Source organism: Homo sapiens, chromosome 9, assembly GCF_000001405.40.
Source record: "Homo sapiens chromosome 9, GRCh38.p14 Primary Assembly".
NCBI classification, from domain to species: Eukaryota; Metazoa; Chordata; class Mammalia; order Primates; family Hominidae; genus Homo; species Homo sapiens.
The window spans coordinates 95,354,982-95,374,132 of NC_000009.12; the positions used below are offsets into that span (position 1 = coordinate 95,354,982).

Genomic DNA, 19,151 nt, shown 5'->3' on the forward strand with positions numbered 1-19,151 from the left:
GGTGATCACAGCTCCCTGAAGCCTCATCTTCCCAGGCTCAAACATCCTCCCACCTCAGCCTCCCAAGTAGCTGGGACTACAGACATGCACCACCATGCCTGGCTAAATTTTTAAAAATTATTTTTTGCAGAGACAGGGTCACATTATGTTGCTCAGGCTGGTCTTGGATTTACTCCTGGGCTCAGTCCTCCCACCTTGGCCTCCCAAAGTGCAGGGATTATAGGCATGAACACCTCGCCTGGCCCTTGTGTTAAAATTTTAATTTCTGCAATCGTATTTTATTTCCAAAAGCTCTTCTTTGGCTTTCTAAATGTTCATGTTTATAATCTGGTTTTTCTTCATGGATATGATACCTTAATTTTGAAGTTTTCTTCTTCCTTGAATTATCTGTTTCCTCTGAGTTTCTTTTTTCTGTTTCCCTTTTTGTTTTCCATGCTAAAAAGCTTCCCTCAAATTTCTGATGATTTTGTTTATTCATATTTAAGTTCCAAGCACTAAAAGCTCATTGGAAATTCTGCCTACCTGGGTGGAACCTGTCAATGAGTAGGTCTCGCTGGGTGGTGCTAGATGTCCCTGGCCTTTTCGCAGGAGAACTCCAAATACCAGTATCTACAGAATCGGGGAGGAGGGGGCTGGTTACTTTGCCAGTAATGATGCATTGTCTTAGCTCCTGCCTGGGAGTATATGCCTGGCTGCCAGTGTAACGGGATCTGAGCAGATACATGGCATGGTGGGAGTGGGAGAGAATTGTGGCTGGAAATCTGAAGTTCAGTGTGTAGGTTTCCACTTGAGTTTTTAGTACAGAATGTTATCTTGCCCTAAATCAGAGCGAGTAGCTCAAAGATTAGAGTCCATAATAGTTCAACCCTGGCTTTCACTTGTGGAGGGGCAGGGTAATTCCTGGTTGTTTGGGGGGCCAGGGGAGGAGTGCAGCATGGTGGTTTGACTGTTTCTTACAAGCACCATCAACTTTCCTCTTGCTTTTACTTCCACCCTGCACCTATGCTTCTGAAGTGCTTACCCAGTACCTCTCACTTCTGAGCTGTCCCAGAGTTGAGTAGTTTAAATCTGTTCCTTTCTTCTGATCTTCCCGTCAGTGTAAAGTTTTGGTTTCTGGCCATCCACTGATTTTCCTGTCAACTTCCAAAGTTTGCTGAGATCTCCTCTCTGCTGTTGCTTTCTCTGCTTTCTTTTTTTCTTCTGGGTTTCTCCATGTTTAATTTATTTTACTCTACTGGGGTTTCAGGAAAGAACAAAAATTAAAATATATTAATCAGCATATTTAATTGGAAGTGATTTGTGTCATGCCTCATATAATTATTTATGTAAAAATAAAAGATTTTTACTTTTTACTTCATGTCTTTGAGGGTCATTTCTTAGATTTTTCCATACTCTTTTAAAACTAATGAAAATTTAGAGCTTGAGCTACTTCTAGAAAATAGATACAGCTTTGGAAACTTTGGACAAATATAAATAATCATGATTTTGATCCATGTGAATTTCAGTTTGGTGAAAGCAAAAATCATTCCTGGAACAAAGTTAAGGCAGAGCAATTAGTTATAGTAATTACTTTTTAAAAACTACTTGTTATGTGATGATGAATTACTGATTTAATTAAGATTAATACAGGTATTTAAGTATTATGTAATTTTTAGTGTATAGTTATGTATAATGACCCAGGGATTATGGAATTGAGTTTATATGAGGACACTGATTATCAGACGAAACCAAGTTTTACTCCATATATACTTATTTGTGCAATACTATCTGAAAGTATCTATTATTTAAAGACATTTAAACATTTTTAAATGGTGGGTAGGAGCATTGAGATTTGACTCTCTGTACTGTTAATCATCTAATCCACTGTTACACTGTTTCTCAATATTTTTAAACTCATATCTTTTTTGGAGAAATAGAAAATTCACCACATTCCCCAAACCCTGCCATTTCTTTTCTTCTTACTCTTTCTTTCTTTCTCTCTTTCTTTCTTTCTTTTTTTTTTTTTTTTTTTTTTTTGACAGAGTCTTGCTCTGTCGCCCAGGCTGGAGTGCAATGGCGCGATCTCGGCTCACTGCAACCTCTGCCTCCCGGGTTCAAGCAATTCTCCTGCCTCAGCTTCCCGAGTAGCTGGGATCACAGGTGTGCATGACTACACCCAGCTAATTTTTTATTTTATTTTATTTTATTTTTTGAGCCGGAGTCTTGTTCTGTCGCCCAGGCTGGAGTGCAGTGGCGCAATCTTGGCTCACTGCAACCTTCGCCTCCCTGCAACTTCCACCTTCTGGGTTCAAGCAATTCTCCTGCCTTAGCCTCCCGAGTAGCTGGGATTACAGGCGCATGCCACCATGCCCGGCTAATTTTTGTATTTTTAGTAAAGACAGGTTTTCACCATGTTGGCCAGGCTGGTTTCGAACGCCTGATCTCAGGTGATTCGCCCACCTCCGCCTCCCAGAGTGTTGAGATTACAGGCGTGAGCCACACCCTTCCCTGCCCAAACCTTGTCATTTCTAATACATTTTTCTTAAGAGCCTAAAAGACATTTATTGAACTTTACCTTATATATTTGAGGTTTTGTTTTGTTTTGTTTTTTAGAGATAAGATCTTGTTCTGTCTCCCAGGCTAGAGTGCAGTAGAGCAATCATACCTCACTGCAATCTTCAATTCCTGGACTCAAGCGATCCTCCTTCCTCAGCTTCCCAAGTAGCTAGGACTATAGGTGCATGCCACCATGCCAGGCTAAATATTTTAATTTTTGCAGAGACAGGGTCTTCCTATGTTGCCCAGGTAGGCTTCAAACTCCTGGCCTCCCACCTTGGACTCCTAAAGTGCTAGGATCTACAGGTGTGAGCCAACACACCCAGCCCTTGTTTTCGTTTACAAATAAATAGTGCTGATTTTTTTTTCCAAGTTACATGTTCTCACTTCTGCAGATTCTAATTAGTACCCCTACTCGGGGCTGGAGGAAGGGCACATGACCTTACCAGGTTGTTAAGACTATGTTGAGGATGATTTTAGAAGCAACATTTTTTCCTTACTCATGAGCATAACTGTGTTCTGTAAAATTTGAGGCAAGGGAGTTCTCTTTCTTTCCTTTCTCTCTCTCTCTCTCTCTTTCTCTCTCAGACTCCCAATGGCGCGATCTCAGCTCACTGCAACCTTTGCCTCCCGGGTTCAAGCGATTCTCCTGCCTCAGCCTCCCACGTAGCTGGAATTACAGGCATGCGCCATCACTTCTGGCTAATTTTGTATTTTTAGTAGACATAGGGTTTCTCCATGTTGGTCAGGCAGGTCTCGAACTCTTGACATCAGGTGATCTGCCTGCCTCGGCCTCCCAAAGTGCTGGGATTACAGGCGTGAGCCACCGCACCCGGCCCAGGAATTTTCAAATGATGCATATTACTATACACAGTGACTTTCAGGGGGTTCCGTTACCTTCCAAACTTGACTACGTTATTGTGATAGTTGAACTGATGGTATAATGTGGATTTAAAAATTGTAACAGACTGGTTACGCATCTTTACCATGGGAGGCAGTCCTAATTTACCTTAATAAAATTAAGTGTACTGCATTTTAACATCTCTTCTGCAACCACAACACAAGGGTTATTTCATAGTTGTAGTAACATATATTTAACTACATTAAATTAATAGATGAAAAGTTATTTTAAAAATCTAATTATAGAAATCTAAATTAAAGCACAAATGAAGAAAGAAAATTTAGATAAATTTGACTTCATCAAAATTAAAAAATTTTATGCTTCAAATGGTACCATTAAGAAAGTAAAAGGACAACCTATAGAATAGGAGAAAATATTTGCAAATCATATATCTAATAAAGGACTTGGATTCAGAATAGAATAGATACTTTTTTTTTTTTTTGAGACAGAGTCTCTCTGTTGCCCAGACTGGAATGCGGCGGCACAATCTCAGCTCACTGCAACCTCTGCCTCCCGGGTTCAAGCGATTCTCATGCCTCAGCCTCCAAAGTAGCTTGGATTACAGGCGCGGGCCACCACACCCGGCTAATTTTTGTGTTTTTAGTAAAGACAGGGTTTTACCATGTTGGCCAGGCTGGTCTCGAACTCTTGACCTCAAGTGATCCACCTGCCTTGGCCTCCCAAAGTGCTGGGATTAAGGTGTGAGCCACCGCACCTGGCCTAGAACAGATAAATAATTCTTATAACTCAATAATAAGGAAACAAATAACCCAATATAACAAGCAAATTATTTGAACAGGCATTTCTCTAAAGACAGACAAATGGCCAATAAGCACATGAAAAGATTCTCAACATTATTAGTCATTAGATAAATGCAAATAAAAACCACAATGAGGCCGGGCGCGGTGGCTCATGCCTGTAATCCCAGAACTTTGGGAGGCCGAAGCGGGTGGATCACCTGAGGTCAGGAGTTCGAGACCAGCCTGACCAACATGGGGAAACCCTGTCTCTACTAAATACAAAAAATTAGCCAGGCATCGTGGTGGATGCCTGTAATCCCAGCTACTTGGGAGGCTGAGGCAGGAGAATTGCTTGAACCTGGAAGGTGGAGGTTGCAGTGAGCCAAGATTGCGCTATTGCACTCCAGCCTGGGCAACAAGAGCAAAACTCTGTCTCAAAACAAACAAACAAACAAACAAACAAAAAACACAATGAGATACTACTTCATACTACACTGGCTGTAATAAAAAAGTCATAATATAAAGTGTTGACGAGTATGTGGAGAAAGGAACCTTCACACGTTACTGGTGGGAATGCAAAATGCATAGCCTCTTCGGAAAAACAGCTTCACAATTCCTCAAAATGTTAAACGTAGCATTAGGATATGACCCAGCAATCCCACTCCTAGGCATATACTAAAGATAACTGAAAACATATGTCCACACAAAAACTTGTAGGTGAATTTTCATTGCAGCATTATTCATAATAGTCAAAAAGTAGAAACAACCCAAATGTCCAACAACTTATGAATGGATAAACAAGTGTGGTCTCTCCACACAATGGTATAGTATCCTGCCATGGAAAGGAATGAAGTACTGATACATGGTACGGCATGGATGAACTTTGCAAGTATTAGACAATGTGAAAGAGGTCACTCATAAAAGGCCACAGATTGCATGATGCCATTTCTATTAAGTGCCCAGAAGAGGCAAACCCATAGAGAGAAAAGATGAATGCTTACTAGGTGCTGGAGTGAGGCGTGTGGGCAGTGGCTATTAATGTCTATGGGGTGTCCTTTTGGGATGATAAAAATGTTCTGGAATTAAATAGTGGTGAATGGTGCCCAACATTGTGAAAAGGATGAATTTTATGGCATGTGAGTTGTATCTCAATAAAGCTATTATTACAAAATCTTTCCCCTGATTATCTCAAAAAGTGTTTCTTTTACCAGGTAGATCTTGTTGAAATCAAGATCTAACAAAGCCAGGCTGGGCATGGTGGCTCACGCCTGTAATCCCAGCACTTTGGAAGGCTGAGGCGGGCAGATCACTTGAGGTCAGGGGTTCGAGACCAGCCTGGCCAACATGGTGAAACCCTGTCTCTACCAAAAATATAAAAAATTAGCCTGCGGTGGTGGCAGGCGCCTGTAATTCCAGCTACTCGGGAGGCTGAGGCAGGAGAATCGCTTGAATGTGGGAGGCAGAGGTTGCAGTGAGCTGAGATAGCGCCACTGCACTCCAGCATACGTGACAGAGTAAGACTCTGTCTCAAAAAAAAAAAAAAAAATTAACAAAGCCCACAGAATAAATGTGGTTAAGTCTCTAAAGCCTCTTTGAAAATCCATCCCAGGTTCCCCTTTTCTTCCTCATGCCACTTATTTGTTGAAGAAACCCCTTAATTACTATAGCAGGTTATTTTTTACTTGTGTTGGAGTGGTAGGAGGCATAACGGTGAATTTCTTTTATTTTAAAGTTTCTTAGCCCCTTTAACATTCCACCTTTCGCCTGGAAGAAATGAGCCTGGGCCCCTGTTAAGGGAAAGTCCCAGCTTTCAAAGACTTAGATTCTCATTAGCCAGCTTCTCTCAGCATCCCTGCAAGTTGTCCCCTCGACCTCCCTCGTCGCTGACCTCTGCCTGTTCTCCATTACCCTTCGGCCCAGCCTGCGCTCCCCAGGGTGGCACATGGAATTGCAACTCCAGATGTGGCCTGGCCAGGGAAGCGTCTGTGGGGATGATGATTTCTCTTGATCTGGATGCCATCCTTTTGTTAATACAAACTAAGATCTCATTAGCTAGTTCATTCTCTGGCTCACAGACTCCTGACTCATTCTGCCTTGAAATCAACTAAAGCACCTGAGGTATGTGTGTCTGTCTTCCCATATAAACTTCTGACGCCAGGTTGTATACTTTATAGTGGACTTTTTGAACCTAAATGCAGGTTTCTATTTTTATTTACATTCAATTTCATTTTGTTGATTTCCATTCATCTGCACAGTCGTTACAGATTTTTTAAAAAATTTTCTAGAGATGGGGGTCTCATATTATTGTCCAGGCTGGTCTCAAACTCCTGGTGTCAATAAATCCTCTCATCTCAGCCTCCCAAAGTGCTGGGATTACAGGAATGAACCACCTCACCCAGCCTAGAGATCTTTTTGAATCCTGAGTTCTACACACCTTACAAATCTGAGAAGCATGTTTCTCTGTTGCAAAGTCACATAGAAAGCCCTAGAGCTCTCCTGGACATGTAACACTGATCTATTGTCTCTGTGACCTCTTGGTTTAATCAACTATAAATCCACAGAACTGTACTATTACTCAGGCCTCAGTTTTCCATGAGCTCTACAAGAATATCATAAACGACTGAAAAAGCACCTATCTGAAACCAGGACACTGTTCATTTATTTCCAGGCTTATTTCATTTTCCCTTACCATTTCTTGCATGAAGCTCACTAAATGATATAGGATGTCCTTGACCTCAAGAATGAAACACAGTCCAGGCGTGGTGGCTCACACCTGTAATACCAGCACTTTGGGAGGCTGAGGCGGGCAGATCATGAGGTCAGGAGATCGAGACCATCCTGGCTAACACGGTGAAACTCTGTCTCTACTAAAAATACAAAAAATTAGCCGGGCTTGGTGGCTGTAGTCCCAGCTACTCGGGAGGCTGAGGCAGGAGAATGGCGTGAACCCGGGAGGCAGAGCTTGCAATGAGCCGACATTGGGCCACTGCACTCCAGCCTGGGCAACAGAGCGAGACTCCGACTTACAAAAAAAAAAAAAAAAGAATGAAACACAGTCCTCAAATTCCAAAACTAGATTGTTTTGCAGAAAAATTTGATAACCACATTACTCTGCTCACAAATACGTAATTTCTAATCTTTGAAATTTTTTTTTAAGTCTCCTGAGTTTTGTTTTAATAGACTTTCTTTTTTTTATTGGTATTTCCCTTCCTTCACCTTGTCTATCTTTGAATTTTGTCTTATCCATTTGACATTTTGAACAAAATATTCATTGACTTCAACATGTTTCTCCTCAGGAAAATATTTTCTAATATTTTAAAATTCCTTAAGGGTATCTTTCTAGGCTGGGTGCGGTGGCTCATGCCTACTTTGGGAGGCTGAGGTGGGTGAATCACGAGGTCAGGAGTTTGAGACCAGCCTGGCCAACATGGCGAAACTCCTGTCTCTACTAAAAATACAAAAAATTAGCTGGGCATAGTGGTGGGTGCCTGTAATCCCAGCTACTTGGGAGGCTGAGGCGGGACAATCGCTTGAACCCAGGAGACAGAGGTTGCAGTGAGCTGAGATCGCGCCACTGCACTCCAGCCTGGGTGACAGAGTGAGACTCCCTCTTCATAAAAAAAAGAGTGTCTTTCTATTTATCTAGGTTCTCTTAAATGAGTCTGATGATAAATGCCATATGTATGTAGCATACGTTGTTAACTGTTTATTCATTTTTGCATCCTCTAGAAGGAAATGGCTTGCTTACGTCTATATAGCACCCTATGGAAGGACGGAAAGCAAACAGTAATTGACAAATCCAGCCATGAATGCAATAAATTCAACTCCAAGGTAAGCTGAGAGACTTAGACACTTCTTTTTGTAAAGTTCTGAAATAAAAGCCCACACTCCCTAAATCTAGAAAATGATACGCCTTTCTGAGCAATCTGAAGACCGTGTGAACGCACCAGAGCACCTTTCCCCGATGTGTGCTCTTGCAGAACCACAGTGGGCTCTGCGTCTACTGGCCAGGTTGGTTCATCGATGTGGACATGGCCAGGTGAACTTGACGCCCTGTCATTTTCACTGTCACTCACCAAAGGAACATTTGTGTTCAGGGCAGGTGTTCAGGAAGTGCTGGCTGGTTTAGGATTGCAAGGAACTTGCAGCGTTCTCTCTGTTTGTGGGGGTGATCACACTAGGAAGAGTTCACATTCTTTTTTAACCGGGGCTGGCCCTGCATTCCAAATGGAACACAGCCAAGCTCTGGACAACAACAGATGGCTCCGTCTCTGCAAAATGCAAACTTGATCCTGCTCGGAGAATTTATCTTCTGCTAAAATAGTACCCCAAGCAGTAAATAAAGCAAATATTCTGTAGGATTCCTATGTGGGGGGTGCACAGAAAGTTTCTCTGTCAAAGTTGACATTTCAAAAACGTATCTGGACTGGATAAGACACATAGCTGTTGGGTTATTCAGCCCCAGTAATGGATGTACTGTGCTTCAGGGAGACTTTCTAAATGTAACCATGTTAATGGAGCTCATAACTTTACTAGTAGATTAATGAGGATCTGAAAGATAGGGTAAGTCTGATCTGTTACTGGATAATGTGGTGATTAATGTTTGTGATGTAATAAGGAAGCCCTAATTAGAAAACTACAGGGGGAAAACCCCAACAGGCTTTTTCACTTAACCAAAGCTTCCACCATTGAAAGAAATTTTGAAGTGTCATTTAATAAGCTTTATGGACTCAGGATATAAAATCAGAGTAAAGCTTATTACATGTTGAATAGAGTCAGTAACATTACAATCCATTGAGACTTCATATCTTTTCTTATGAAAATTCTTAAATCAGAACAAGTTACTACGAAAATATGATTTGTAGTTATAATAATAAATGGGGCTATGTTTGTGTTCTTTCAATGATATTTTACCTTTTGTTCTTTTAAGAGTATGAGAAACATACACCACCATTTTCAAGAGGACACTAACCTATGATCCAATTTTTCACTCTGCTTAAAACTTTCAATAAATTCATTCAAAGTGCTAATAGGCAAAAACAAAGATTCCCGTTTTTTAAAGTGAATTTTATAACCCTTTTCTTTGAAAAACATTTTGGAATGCCTGATCTTAGTAATAGTTTTCCTTCCCTATATACATAGAATATTTACCTCAAATTACTCTTTTATACTGGAAGAAAATTCTGGAAATAAAAAACTAAAAAAACCTTTAAACTACCTTGCACACATATATACATTGTAAGAGATTTTTCTACATTGGAAATTTATGTATGAAATATGATACAGTCTTTTAAATAATATTGGTGAAATACTTTTTTTGCATCATATTTAGCAGTTTTAGAGGTTAATGACAAGCCGAAGGGATCAGTGACCAAGGCTTTGTCAGCACTGTTAACTTCAACCCATCACTAATTGCTGGAAATGTCTTGGGTCTAGGAGGTTAACTCTTGTACAAGATTAAGGAGAAGGAAACATAAACTCTTACTACTATCTTTATGGGCTGTGTCCTTTAATTTGGAAGGTACAGGGCAATTATCGTTTTGGCCAATAATTAGCTGATCTGCAGACTTGCCTTTCATATGGCTTAAACCATCATTCAGCTCTTTGCCCAACAGTTTTACAATTAAAGATTTTATATTTAAAAGGGAAATACTTTTAAATATTCTATTATATTTAGTAGTAGATAGTAGATAGTCTATTATTTCTATCTACTTTAGTAACTTATGATTTTTATATCCCTTCCCAGAGATGGTTTCATATTTTTTCCTAGAATCTTTATGTGGGGGCTTTTATCTCTTAGAAAAGTCTATTCATTTGTCTATAAGACCACTGGGGTACTCAAAGTGATCTAGGACAAAACAAAGTCTTCCTAAAGTGCAGCAATTTAAGCAAACAACCTTATTTGTCAGGTGCAAGAAAATGCCCTCTGAATCCTCCAATTTCACACTTGTCACCGAGGGCTTTGTATTGGGCAGGGAAAACATCTTAGGTATCTCTGTGGTGTCCATTTTTGTTTTAGCACATAGTAGGCCCTGAACGTGCATATATCAATTTACTGCATAAATGTGAACCAAGTCTCCTTATGGGTATCTTTAATTACAGAAACACTTCTTATTTTTCAAATAATCATGCTATATCAACACAGCTGTTCACAACAGTAATGCTCATAACATATTAATAAGTGAAACAAGAAAGGATGTAAATTATCCATTTTTTAAAAAAAGAAAATATTCTTAAATTATTTGAATTATTAAATAAAGCCACACAACTACAAAGTTGACTTATGCAATTAGGTGTCTCTCTTTTTGAAAAAAACTCCAGGTTCTTTAAAGAGCAGACGAGTTGGGAAGCTTTAGGAAACAAAGCAAAAATCCTCAAAGCAGTCTACTTAGTCTTGCCTTACATCAATCACCCTTTCTTATTAACCTCTCACCCTTAAACCGTGCTGCAAGGAGGTGGGGGCAAGTATGTAGTGGGCTGGGGGTGAGGACAGAGTGATAAAATGTAAATTATGTAGAAGAGGGCTGCAGCTTTAACAAGTGTTTCTGTTTATTCAGAGCCTTCCTCTGAGATGCTCCAAGTGTTTTATAAACGTTATCTCCTTAATCCTCTGGAACAAGTAGGTGGCAACTCTGGCTCTTTACTTGACAGATATTTTATCTATGATTGGAAAAATTAAATGCCAGCAGAAGATCTTAACAGAAAGCAATTGGATGATGACAAAGATTAATTTTAATGCATGCCCTCAAGAACAATTCCAAGCCGTCTACACACTCCCCTCTTGTTTTTCAGCCACATGTTTTAGCCTCTTCCAGCATGCAGCGTGCTCACGTGGTAGGATTCTCAAGAAACCGGTAACAGAGTTGCTTTGAGAGAGGGAAATTTGGCAGTTGGAGGGAGGGACTGAAGGAAAAGGAGACTTTTCACTGTCTATATATATGCTTATATACCTTTTGGATTTACCTATTTAAAAAATAAATTTAAAAACCCTCCCAGAACAAGAGGGCAAAGTCAGCTGGATGATCTACTCACTTCCCTGACGTCCCCTCCAGTCCCCAGGAAACAGTAGCTGGGCTTTAATCTAACTCTTTCTTTGTAATATTCTGAATAGAAATCATTGAAGAAAAATGAGTACACAATTTACAGTCCATATTAAATGTATAACTTGAGGGATTTAATGGAAATGAGAAATGCAGTGTGTTGAAAGGCTCTCTGGATCTTTCTTCCTCTCTGTGGATTTATATATTTACAGATGTTCCTTAACTTACGATGGGGTTAAAGTCATAAAGTCAAAAAATTTTAAAGTCAAAAGAAATCCCAAGTTGAATCGTAAGTCGGGGGCTTTATATACTGCACTTCATTCATCTGGGTGGCTGATAGCATCAAAGAAATTTCAGGTCTATTTACAAACCACCAAAAGTTTTTAAAAGTTTTAAGAAACTTTTAAAAGGAGGTAATTTTCCACTTTTTCCTGATTTCACCCGGTCTTCAACTTCTTATCAATGTTGGTCTTGATTGAATGAAATGGATGTAGGAGTCTTAGGCTGACTAATCATGAAATATACAATTTTAGGGAGAAAAGAAAAGAACTAAATCAGGGTAATTGGTGGTGGTGGGGTGAGAAGCAGACTTGACGACTGTATATACAATTTTGCACCCACCTCCCACGGTTTGACGTTCGTTCCAGTAAATTCCAAGAGTACTTACTATTGTTGCCAGACAGGCCGTGTCTTCAAGCACAGGGTGAAGGAATCCAGGGCACTTTCCCTCTCAGCTTCTGTGGGCTCCAGAGCTGTGGTGACTCCGAAGGGCATACAGAGCAATTCCCTGGGGATCTTGTTAAAATGCAGATTCTGGTTCAGGTCTGTGGGGGGCCCTGGATTCTGCATTTCCAACACATTCCCAGGGGCTGTCCCTGCTGCTCCCACAGGAGCACGCTTTAAGTAGTGAGGATTTAGACAGAGCTTGCATCTGTTATAACTGGTTTCCGCTGCATTTAACTGACTACCAGCCTCCCACAATTAAAAGTTCCTCCCAGGCCAGGTGCAGTGGTTTATGCCTGTAATCCCAGCACTTTGGGAGGCCAAGGCAGGAGGATCACATGAAGTCAAGAGTTTGTGACCAGCCTGACCAACATGGCTAAGCCCTGTCTACAAAAATACAAGAATTAGCCAGGTGTGGTGGCATGCGCCTGTACTCCCAGTACTTTAGGAGGCCGAGGCAGGTGGATCACTGGAGGTCAGGAGTTTGAGACTAGCCTGGCCAACATGCTGAAATCCTGTCTCTACTAAAAATACAAAAATTAGCTGGGAGTGATGGCGGGCGCCTGTAATCCCAGCTACTCAGGAGACTGAGGTAGGAGAATGGCTTGGACCCAGGAAGCAGAGGTTGCAGTGAGCCGAGATCACACCATCGCACTCCAGCCTGGGTGACAGAGCGAGACTCTGCCTTAAATAAATAAATAAATAAAGTTTCTCCGTTTTCATGAATCTAGAAATCTGAAGCTTGGCAGACAGGGAAGAAGGAGTCTTTTCCACAGTGTCTCAGGGATGGTGGAGCTGTCCACTTTTCCTTGCAGATTTATCCACTTTTCTTTGCTTCGTCATCTTTTTTGAGTGATTTTCATTGTCAAGGTCACAATATAGTGGCTGCCCTTCCAGGTATCACGTTCATTTTCCATGAGGATGAAGAGGTCATGAGAGAGAACAAAAGGTATATGCCAAGTGAGTCTCCATCTTTTAATTGGGAAAACAGCAGCCTTCTGGGAAGCCAGACTCCTACTTCTCATTGGCCAGCAGACGTCTACTAACATCTCATCAGCCACATGACTGCAGGAAGCTTCAAGGCAGCTTTGTAAATAAAAATTCTTGGCTGGGCACGGTGGCTTACGCCTGTAATCCCAGCACTTTGGGAGGCCGAGGTGGGCGGATCACAAGGTCAGGAGATCGAGACTGTGCTGGGTAACACGATGAAACCCCGTCTCTACTGAAAATACAAAAAATTAGCCGGGCGTGGTGGCAGGTGCCTGTAGTCCCAGCTACTCGGGAGGCTGAGGCAGGAGAATGGCGTGAACCTGGGAGGCGGAGCTTGCAGTGAGCCGAGATCGCGCCACTGCACTCCAGCCTGCGCGACAGAGCGAGACCCCGCCTCAAAAAAAAAAAAAAAAAAAAAAATTCTTTAGCCAAGCATATTGTCACCCTGAACAAAATAATGATTCTGTTAGAAGGAAGGGAAGAATAGACATTAGGTAGGTGTCATAGGTGGAATAATGGCCCCCCAATGATGTTCATGACTAAATCACTGGAACCTGTGATTATGTTATCTTCCACAGCAAAGGCAACTTTACAGATGTGATTAGACGGGAGGATTCTCCTGGGTTACCTGGAGGGCCCACTGTAATCACAAGGCCCCTCACTAGAGGGAGGTGGGCGGGTGAGCGTCTGAGGGGAGATGCGCTCTTAGAAGCAGAGGGCAGAATGGTGTGGGGCTGCGAGCCCAGGAGAGCAGGCGGCATCTAGAGGTGGGGACACAGCTCTCTGGACACTTTTTATTTTAGGTCCACAAGATCCTTTTTGGAATTCTGACTTTCTTTCAGAGCTTTAAAGTAAGTTTGTGTTCTTAAGCCGCTGTGTGGTAATTTGCAATACGAAACTCATGCAGTGCCGCCTGGCGTTGTCTGTCCCAGAGTTAGGAGGAGGTGTGAGGAGACAGGGAGAAGTACCAGGACACCAGCCCTGGGCAGGGCCCAATGCAGACGCACCAGCAGGTGGGCCGCCTCCCGGAGGGGGTAGTGGACGGCAGGAGAGGGGCACACAGCCCAGAGGCGGCAATTGTCTGAACTGTGAACATTCGCTAATTAGGCTGGTTGTTTTATTCGTATTGGCAAAAGGCTTTTTCTTAGATAGGCTCACGGACTGCGAGGGAGCCTCAGTGATCACCCAGGCCAGACAGCTCCTCAGATTTCCCTGGAGGGACTGGAGGCCTGAATCTGAAGAGACTCCCCAGGCGAGACAGTGGGACCTCCCGAAGCTGTTTCAGTGCTTCCCACCACTGCCGGCTGCTTCCTGCTCTGGCGTTCTAGGTCGGGCTGCCAGGACAAATACAGGATGCCCCAAGTAAATGTGATTTTCAGATAAACAACAAATAACTTTTTCAGTATAAGCATTATCTGAGTTTCTTATTGGTTCCGTAACAAATTACAGTGGTGTAAAGCAACACAAATTAATCTAACACTGCTGCAGGTAGCTAGCCCCGGGGTCTCCTGGGGCTCAAATCAGTGTCTAGGAGGGCCATGCTCCTTCCGAAGACTTCAAGGAGAGTCCGTTTCTTTGCCTATTCCCACACTTCTAGAAGACGACTGCATCCTTCAGCTGGTTGGTCCTTCCTCCACCTTCAATTTCTAACTCTGGCTCTCCTGCCTCCCTCCTCTAAGGACTCTGTGGTTACATTTGGACCAGTCACTTCACCCAGGACGACCTGCCCTCTGAAAAGCCTTAACTTAATCACATCCGCAAAATCCTTTTTGCCATGTAAGGGAATATGTTCCAAGTGTTAGGAATATCTGTCCATGGACATCTTTGTTGGCCCCTTTTCTACCTGCCACAAGTGTGTCCTAAATATTGCATGGGACATACTTACACTAAAAAATTATTCATTGTTTTTCTGAAATTCACATTTAACTGGGGATACCATATTTTTATTTGCTAAATGTGGCAATCCTCATTTTTGGAAGTGTAGATAGGGTGTATTCTCTTCTCTATGGCAATTACTCCACCTACAACTTTATCAGTAAACAAAAAAATTGGATTTGGACAGGTGAGCGTCTATTGAAATAAATGCCTTCCTTTTTAGAAAAATTTATATTAATTAGCTTTTTAATATTCTGAACTATATTTTTAGTGAGCAATTTCTATTTAATTAATCTTCAACAGGGAACATAAGAGTAACTGAACACATTACAGCAGTCAGACAGAAAGTACACCAAGTATTTATTTGAAATATTTTGAATTTCTCCACACACCACATGGTCCAGTTCTCTCAACCAGCCCATTAATAAATCTGTTATCCAAAAATGTGGCTCTAAACGTGGCTTAGCGTGGTTGCACTTGATTACTGAGTGTCTGGAATGTCTTTCTCTCTTAACCAAAACACTTCAGGGGCAGAAGAGACACCAGGGAGTGGGACTCCCACAGCTTGGGCTGGGTTCAGAGCTGATGTCTCCCTCGCTAGCTGCTTTCTGAATAACGCCCTGGAGATGTCTCTGTGACACTGGGGCCTCCTCTTGCTGGGCTCTTTACTTCTGTAAACCTCTTCAAGTCTCTCTCTCTTTTTTTTTTTTAGATGGAGTCTCACTCTGTCGCCAGGCTGGAGTGCAGTGGCGCGATATCGGCTCACTGCAACCTCCGCCTCCCGGGTTCAAGTGATTCTCCTGCCTCAGCCTCCTGAGTAGCTGGGACTACAGGCACGTGCCACCACACTCAGCTAATTTTTGTATTTTTAGTAAAGACGAGGTTTCACCATGTTGGCCAGGGTGGTTTCAATCTCTTGACCTCGTGCTCCGCCCGCCTCGGCCTCCCAAAGTGCTGGGATTACAGCCGTGAGCCACCACGCCCAGCCCTCTCTTAATGACAATATTAAAACTGACTACAATTAGCAGTATTCACTGATATGCAAGTACTGTCATGCTTAAGTCCACTTTAAAAAACAAAACTGTCTTAAATAGATTGCTCTGGTGTTAGGAAAAATTATCCAAAACTTAGAAATAAAGCCAAGAGAATGACTGTCTTTTTAAGGCCATACTAAAGCGTTGTCTAACAAGCCTATCTAAAGATTATTTCATTCTCTAGGGATAGAAGGTTGTACTATTATTTTACTCTGCTTGTTATTTTAATTAAAGACTCAGACTCTATGCAAGTAAGTATTAACTTGTAGATTTGTGTGCAGTGGAAATACCAATTATTTCTCTCAGGTAGAAAACCCCAAAAGTTAGGCTTCCATCTCTTTTTGAAACACAACTAGCTACTTGTATGTCTGATCAAGTAATGTTATTCTGAATTCTTTTTTTTAGGTTTTCTTTATTGTTTCTTTTCTTTCTCCTTCCTTCCTTCCTTCTTTCCTTTCCTCCTTCCTTCCTTCTTTTTTAAGAGACAAGGCTTCACTGTCACCCAGGCTGGAATGCAGTGGTGTGATCATAACTCATTGCAGTCTCAAGTAATCAAGCCTCCTGGCCTCAAGTAATCCTCCTATTCAGCCTCCCAAAGTGTTTGGATTACAGGCATGAGCGGCCGTGCCCAGCTTTTTTTTTTTTTTTTTTTTTTTTTGAGACAGGGTCTCACTCTGTCGCCCAGGCTGGAGTGCAGTGGCACAATCTCAGCTCACTGCAACCTCCGACTCCTGGACTCAAATGATCCTCCCACCTCAGCCTCCCAAGTAGCTGGAACTACAGGTGTACGCCACCATGCTCGGCTAATTTTTAAATTTTTTTATAGGGACAGGATCTTTCCATGTTGCCTATGTTGGTCTCAAATTCCTGGGCTCCTCAGATGTTCTTAAAACCAGCTTTGAACTCTTACTGGATGCCTCGTTAATTAGTTGAATAAAATTTGATATGTACTCATCCTATAGTTGTATGACTCTCATACAACTAACTTGTTGAAAATGATGCTTTATCGGTAGCATAAGTCAGCCCGTCTGGTTTATGCTGTGGATTTGCTTTAACAACTTATTTCTTTTTAGATGAGCTAAAGGTTCAAGTTTCTTAGCATGACACTGAGGGTTCTTCACATTCTGGTCCCAAGTGACATCTTTTTTTTTGAGACAGGGTCTCCTGTCGCCCAGGTTGGAGTGCAGTGGTGCAATCTTGGCTCACTGCAACCTCGCCTCCTTGGTTCAAGCTATTCTTCTGCCTCAGCCTCCTGAGTAGCTGGGATTACAGGCACGCACCACCACAGCCTGGTTAATTTTTGTATTTTTATGTTTAGTAGAGATGGGTTTCACCATATTGGTCAGGCTGGTCTTGAACTTCTGACCTCAGGTGATTTGCCCTCCTCGGCCTCCCAAAGTGCTAGGATTACAGGCGTGAGCTACCGCGCCTGGCCTGACATCTCCTCTTCTGTGAAGTCTTCCCCAACCTCCTCTTTCCCAGTCTACACCACACCCTCCTCGGGCAGAGTCAGATATCTCCACATCCTTTGCACTCAGCATCCCAAACATATGTTTGCTGATAAACTGAACTATTTTCCTACTCTTCTGGTTGGCGTGTGACCTGGAGGTTAATTTAAATAATACATTCCATGTCCTCGTCACAGTGATTGCTTCCTGGGTGGGGGGGTCCTATGAGCCACCCTGTTTCCATCAGCGTCTTCTCAGGACATTTATTGCAATGGTGGGACAGAAGTACTCTTTCTTTCCTACTGATGTGGACAAAGCCTGTCACCTGGAATCTGGTGGCAGCTGTCTTTGGCTGGTGAGAGGAGCCACCCTCGGGACGGAGCCAGCACTGGGAAAGCAGCTCTGAGAACTGGGGAGAAATTCCGGCCGTGGTCATGTGGCTATGTTTCTGGAACAGGCCTTAAGATACTCTTGCTTCTAGACTTTTCAAGTCTTGGAGCCAGTAGATCCCTTTGATCACATAAGCCTGTTTGAATTAGATTTTCTATTATTTCCAGCCAGAAGCATCCTAGCTGATACAGATACCTATGTTACTCATTGGTGTCTTCATCAATGCTTCCGGAGTAATTTTGTGTCTGCCTAACTTCTGCCCATAGAAAAACATCTTTGTGATCCCAGAGCCTTGCTCAGTTTCTAGCTCAGTTGGAACTCAATAAATGTTGCCTGAGTTCGTTTTAGGAAAACACTTTTTTGCACTATACTCTTGTTATTTTTACAAGTAATGAAATAAAAACCTACTTTCCTCACCTTTTGCAGATCCCAGCGTCTCCCAAATTCCAAGGCTTGATTACTTTTTCTGACATCTGTGTCATCTCACCTGGAGCCACATGAATCTCTCAGTATCCCTACTCTCCTGCTTCAGCCCCTGCCCACTTCCTGTGGAAGCTTTCCAGGAGGCTATGCCTGGGCAGTTAGCCAGGCTGGCAAGTGGTGGGTTTAACAGAGCACTGCATAAACACACCCACATCCTGCGTAAACAAGATGCACCTAGTCTCTGGCAACTTTGAATTTTAAGAATGATTACAGAAACACAGCTGTAAACGTGGAGATCTTTTTTGAAGTGTATGGACCTCGTTCTGAGCCAGCTCACCTCTGGACCAGGCTGGGAAATCATGTGGGAAAGAGATTCTGCTGGCAGATTCAGAGGGCCTGAGAATGAATCCCTTCTCAGCAACCAGGCGCAGGTTGGTTGCTGGGAAGCACTCTGGAGTTGTCTCTCCCGACTGACATTCATTCACAATATCTCCACCTGGGAAGTGCACCTGTCCTGCCCTTTTGACAATCATGCCAATTTTATCACACTCCCTGTATGTCTCTTGTACAAAGAATGAGAACTCAAAACATCTGTGGGAAGAAGGCACCAGGAGAATGATTTCATGCTTGATATATTTGCATACATTGGCAATAGCAAGAAAAAAAAGCCCCTATTTTGAACTAATTCAAGTACATAGGACCAAAATATATTTTAATAGTTCAACATTGAATTCAGTGAGTTCTTAGACACCAAAGGAGGAAATGTCTGCTTCAATTGCAAAATAAAACTGACACTGATTCTAAAAACATTAAATGACATCAAAGTGGGCCGTGCCAGTCTCATATTTCAGACGTGACTTAGTGTTGTGTATTTTTCCAGAGCCCACCTCATCTGGGAAAAACTACTGCTAATGATTTATGTATGATTTATCACCACCAACCCCACGGTAAAAGAGTGAACTAGCCAGTATCAACCTGATTTTTACACCAGAGGCCAGAAACCTCTTTCCTTCCTATCGCCTGGGGTAACTTAGGGGCGAATGTTACCTTTT

The 19,151-nt window shown here is 42.2% G+C and overlaps 1 long non-coding RNA gene across 1 annotated transcript, besides 1 other annotated feature; it reads right to left on the reverse strand.

Moving 5' to 3' along the window:
- Positions 1–326: 326 nt before the first annotated feature.
- LOC105376155 (uncharacterized) lies at positions 327–12,124 on the reverse strand. Its single transcript, XR_930133.3, has 2 exons — positions 11,884–12,124; positions 327–1,234 (listed from the first exon to the last, which is right to left on the reverse strand). It is a non-coding gene; the product is annotated as an uncharacterized LOC105376155 (long non-coding RNA).
- Positions 11,826–12,120: a silencer, noted in NCBI's record as "tiled region #1060; K562 Repressive non-DNase unmatched - State 21:Repr". NCBI's record gives its function as "represses a minimal TATA promoter and a strong SV40 promoter by Sharpr-MPRA in K562 cells {active_cell/tissue: K562}" and the evidence as "EXISTENCE:reporter gene assay evidence [ECO:0000049][PMID:27701403]".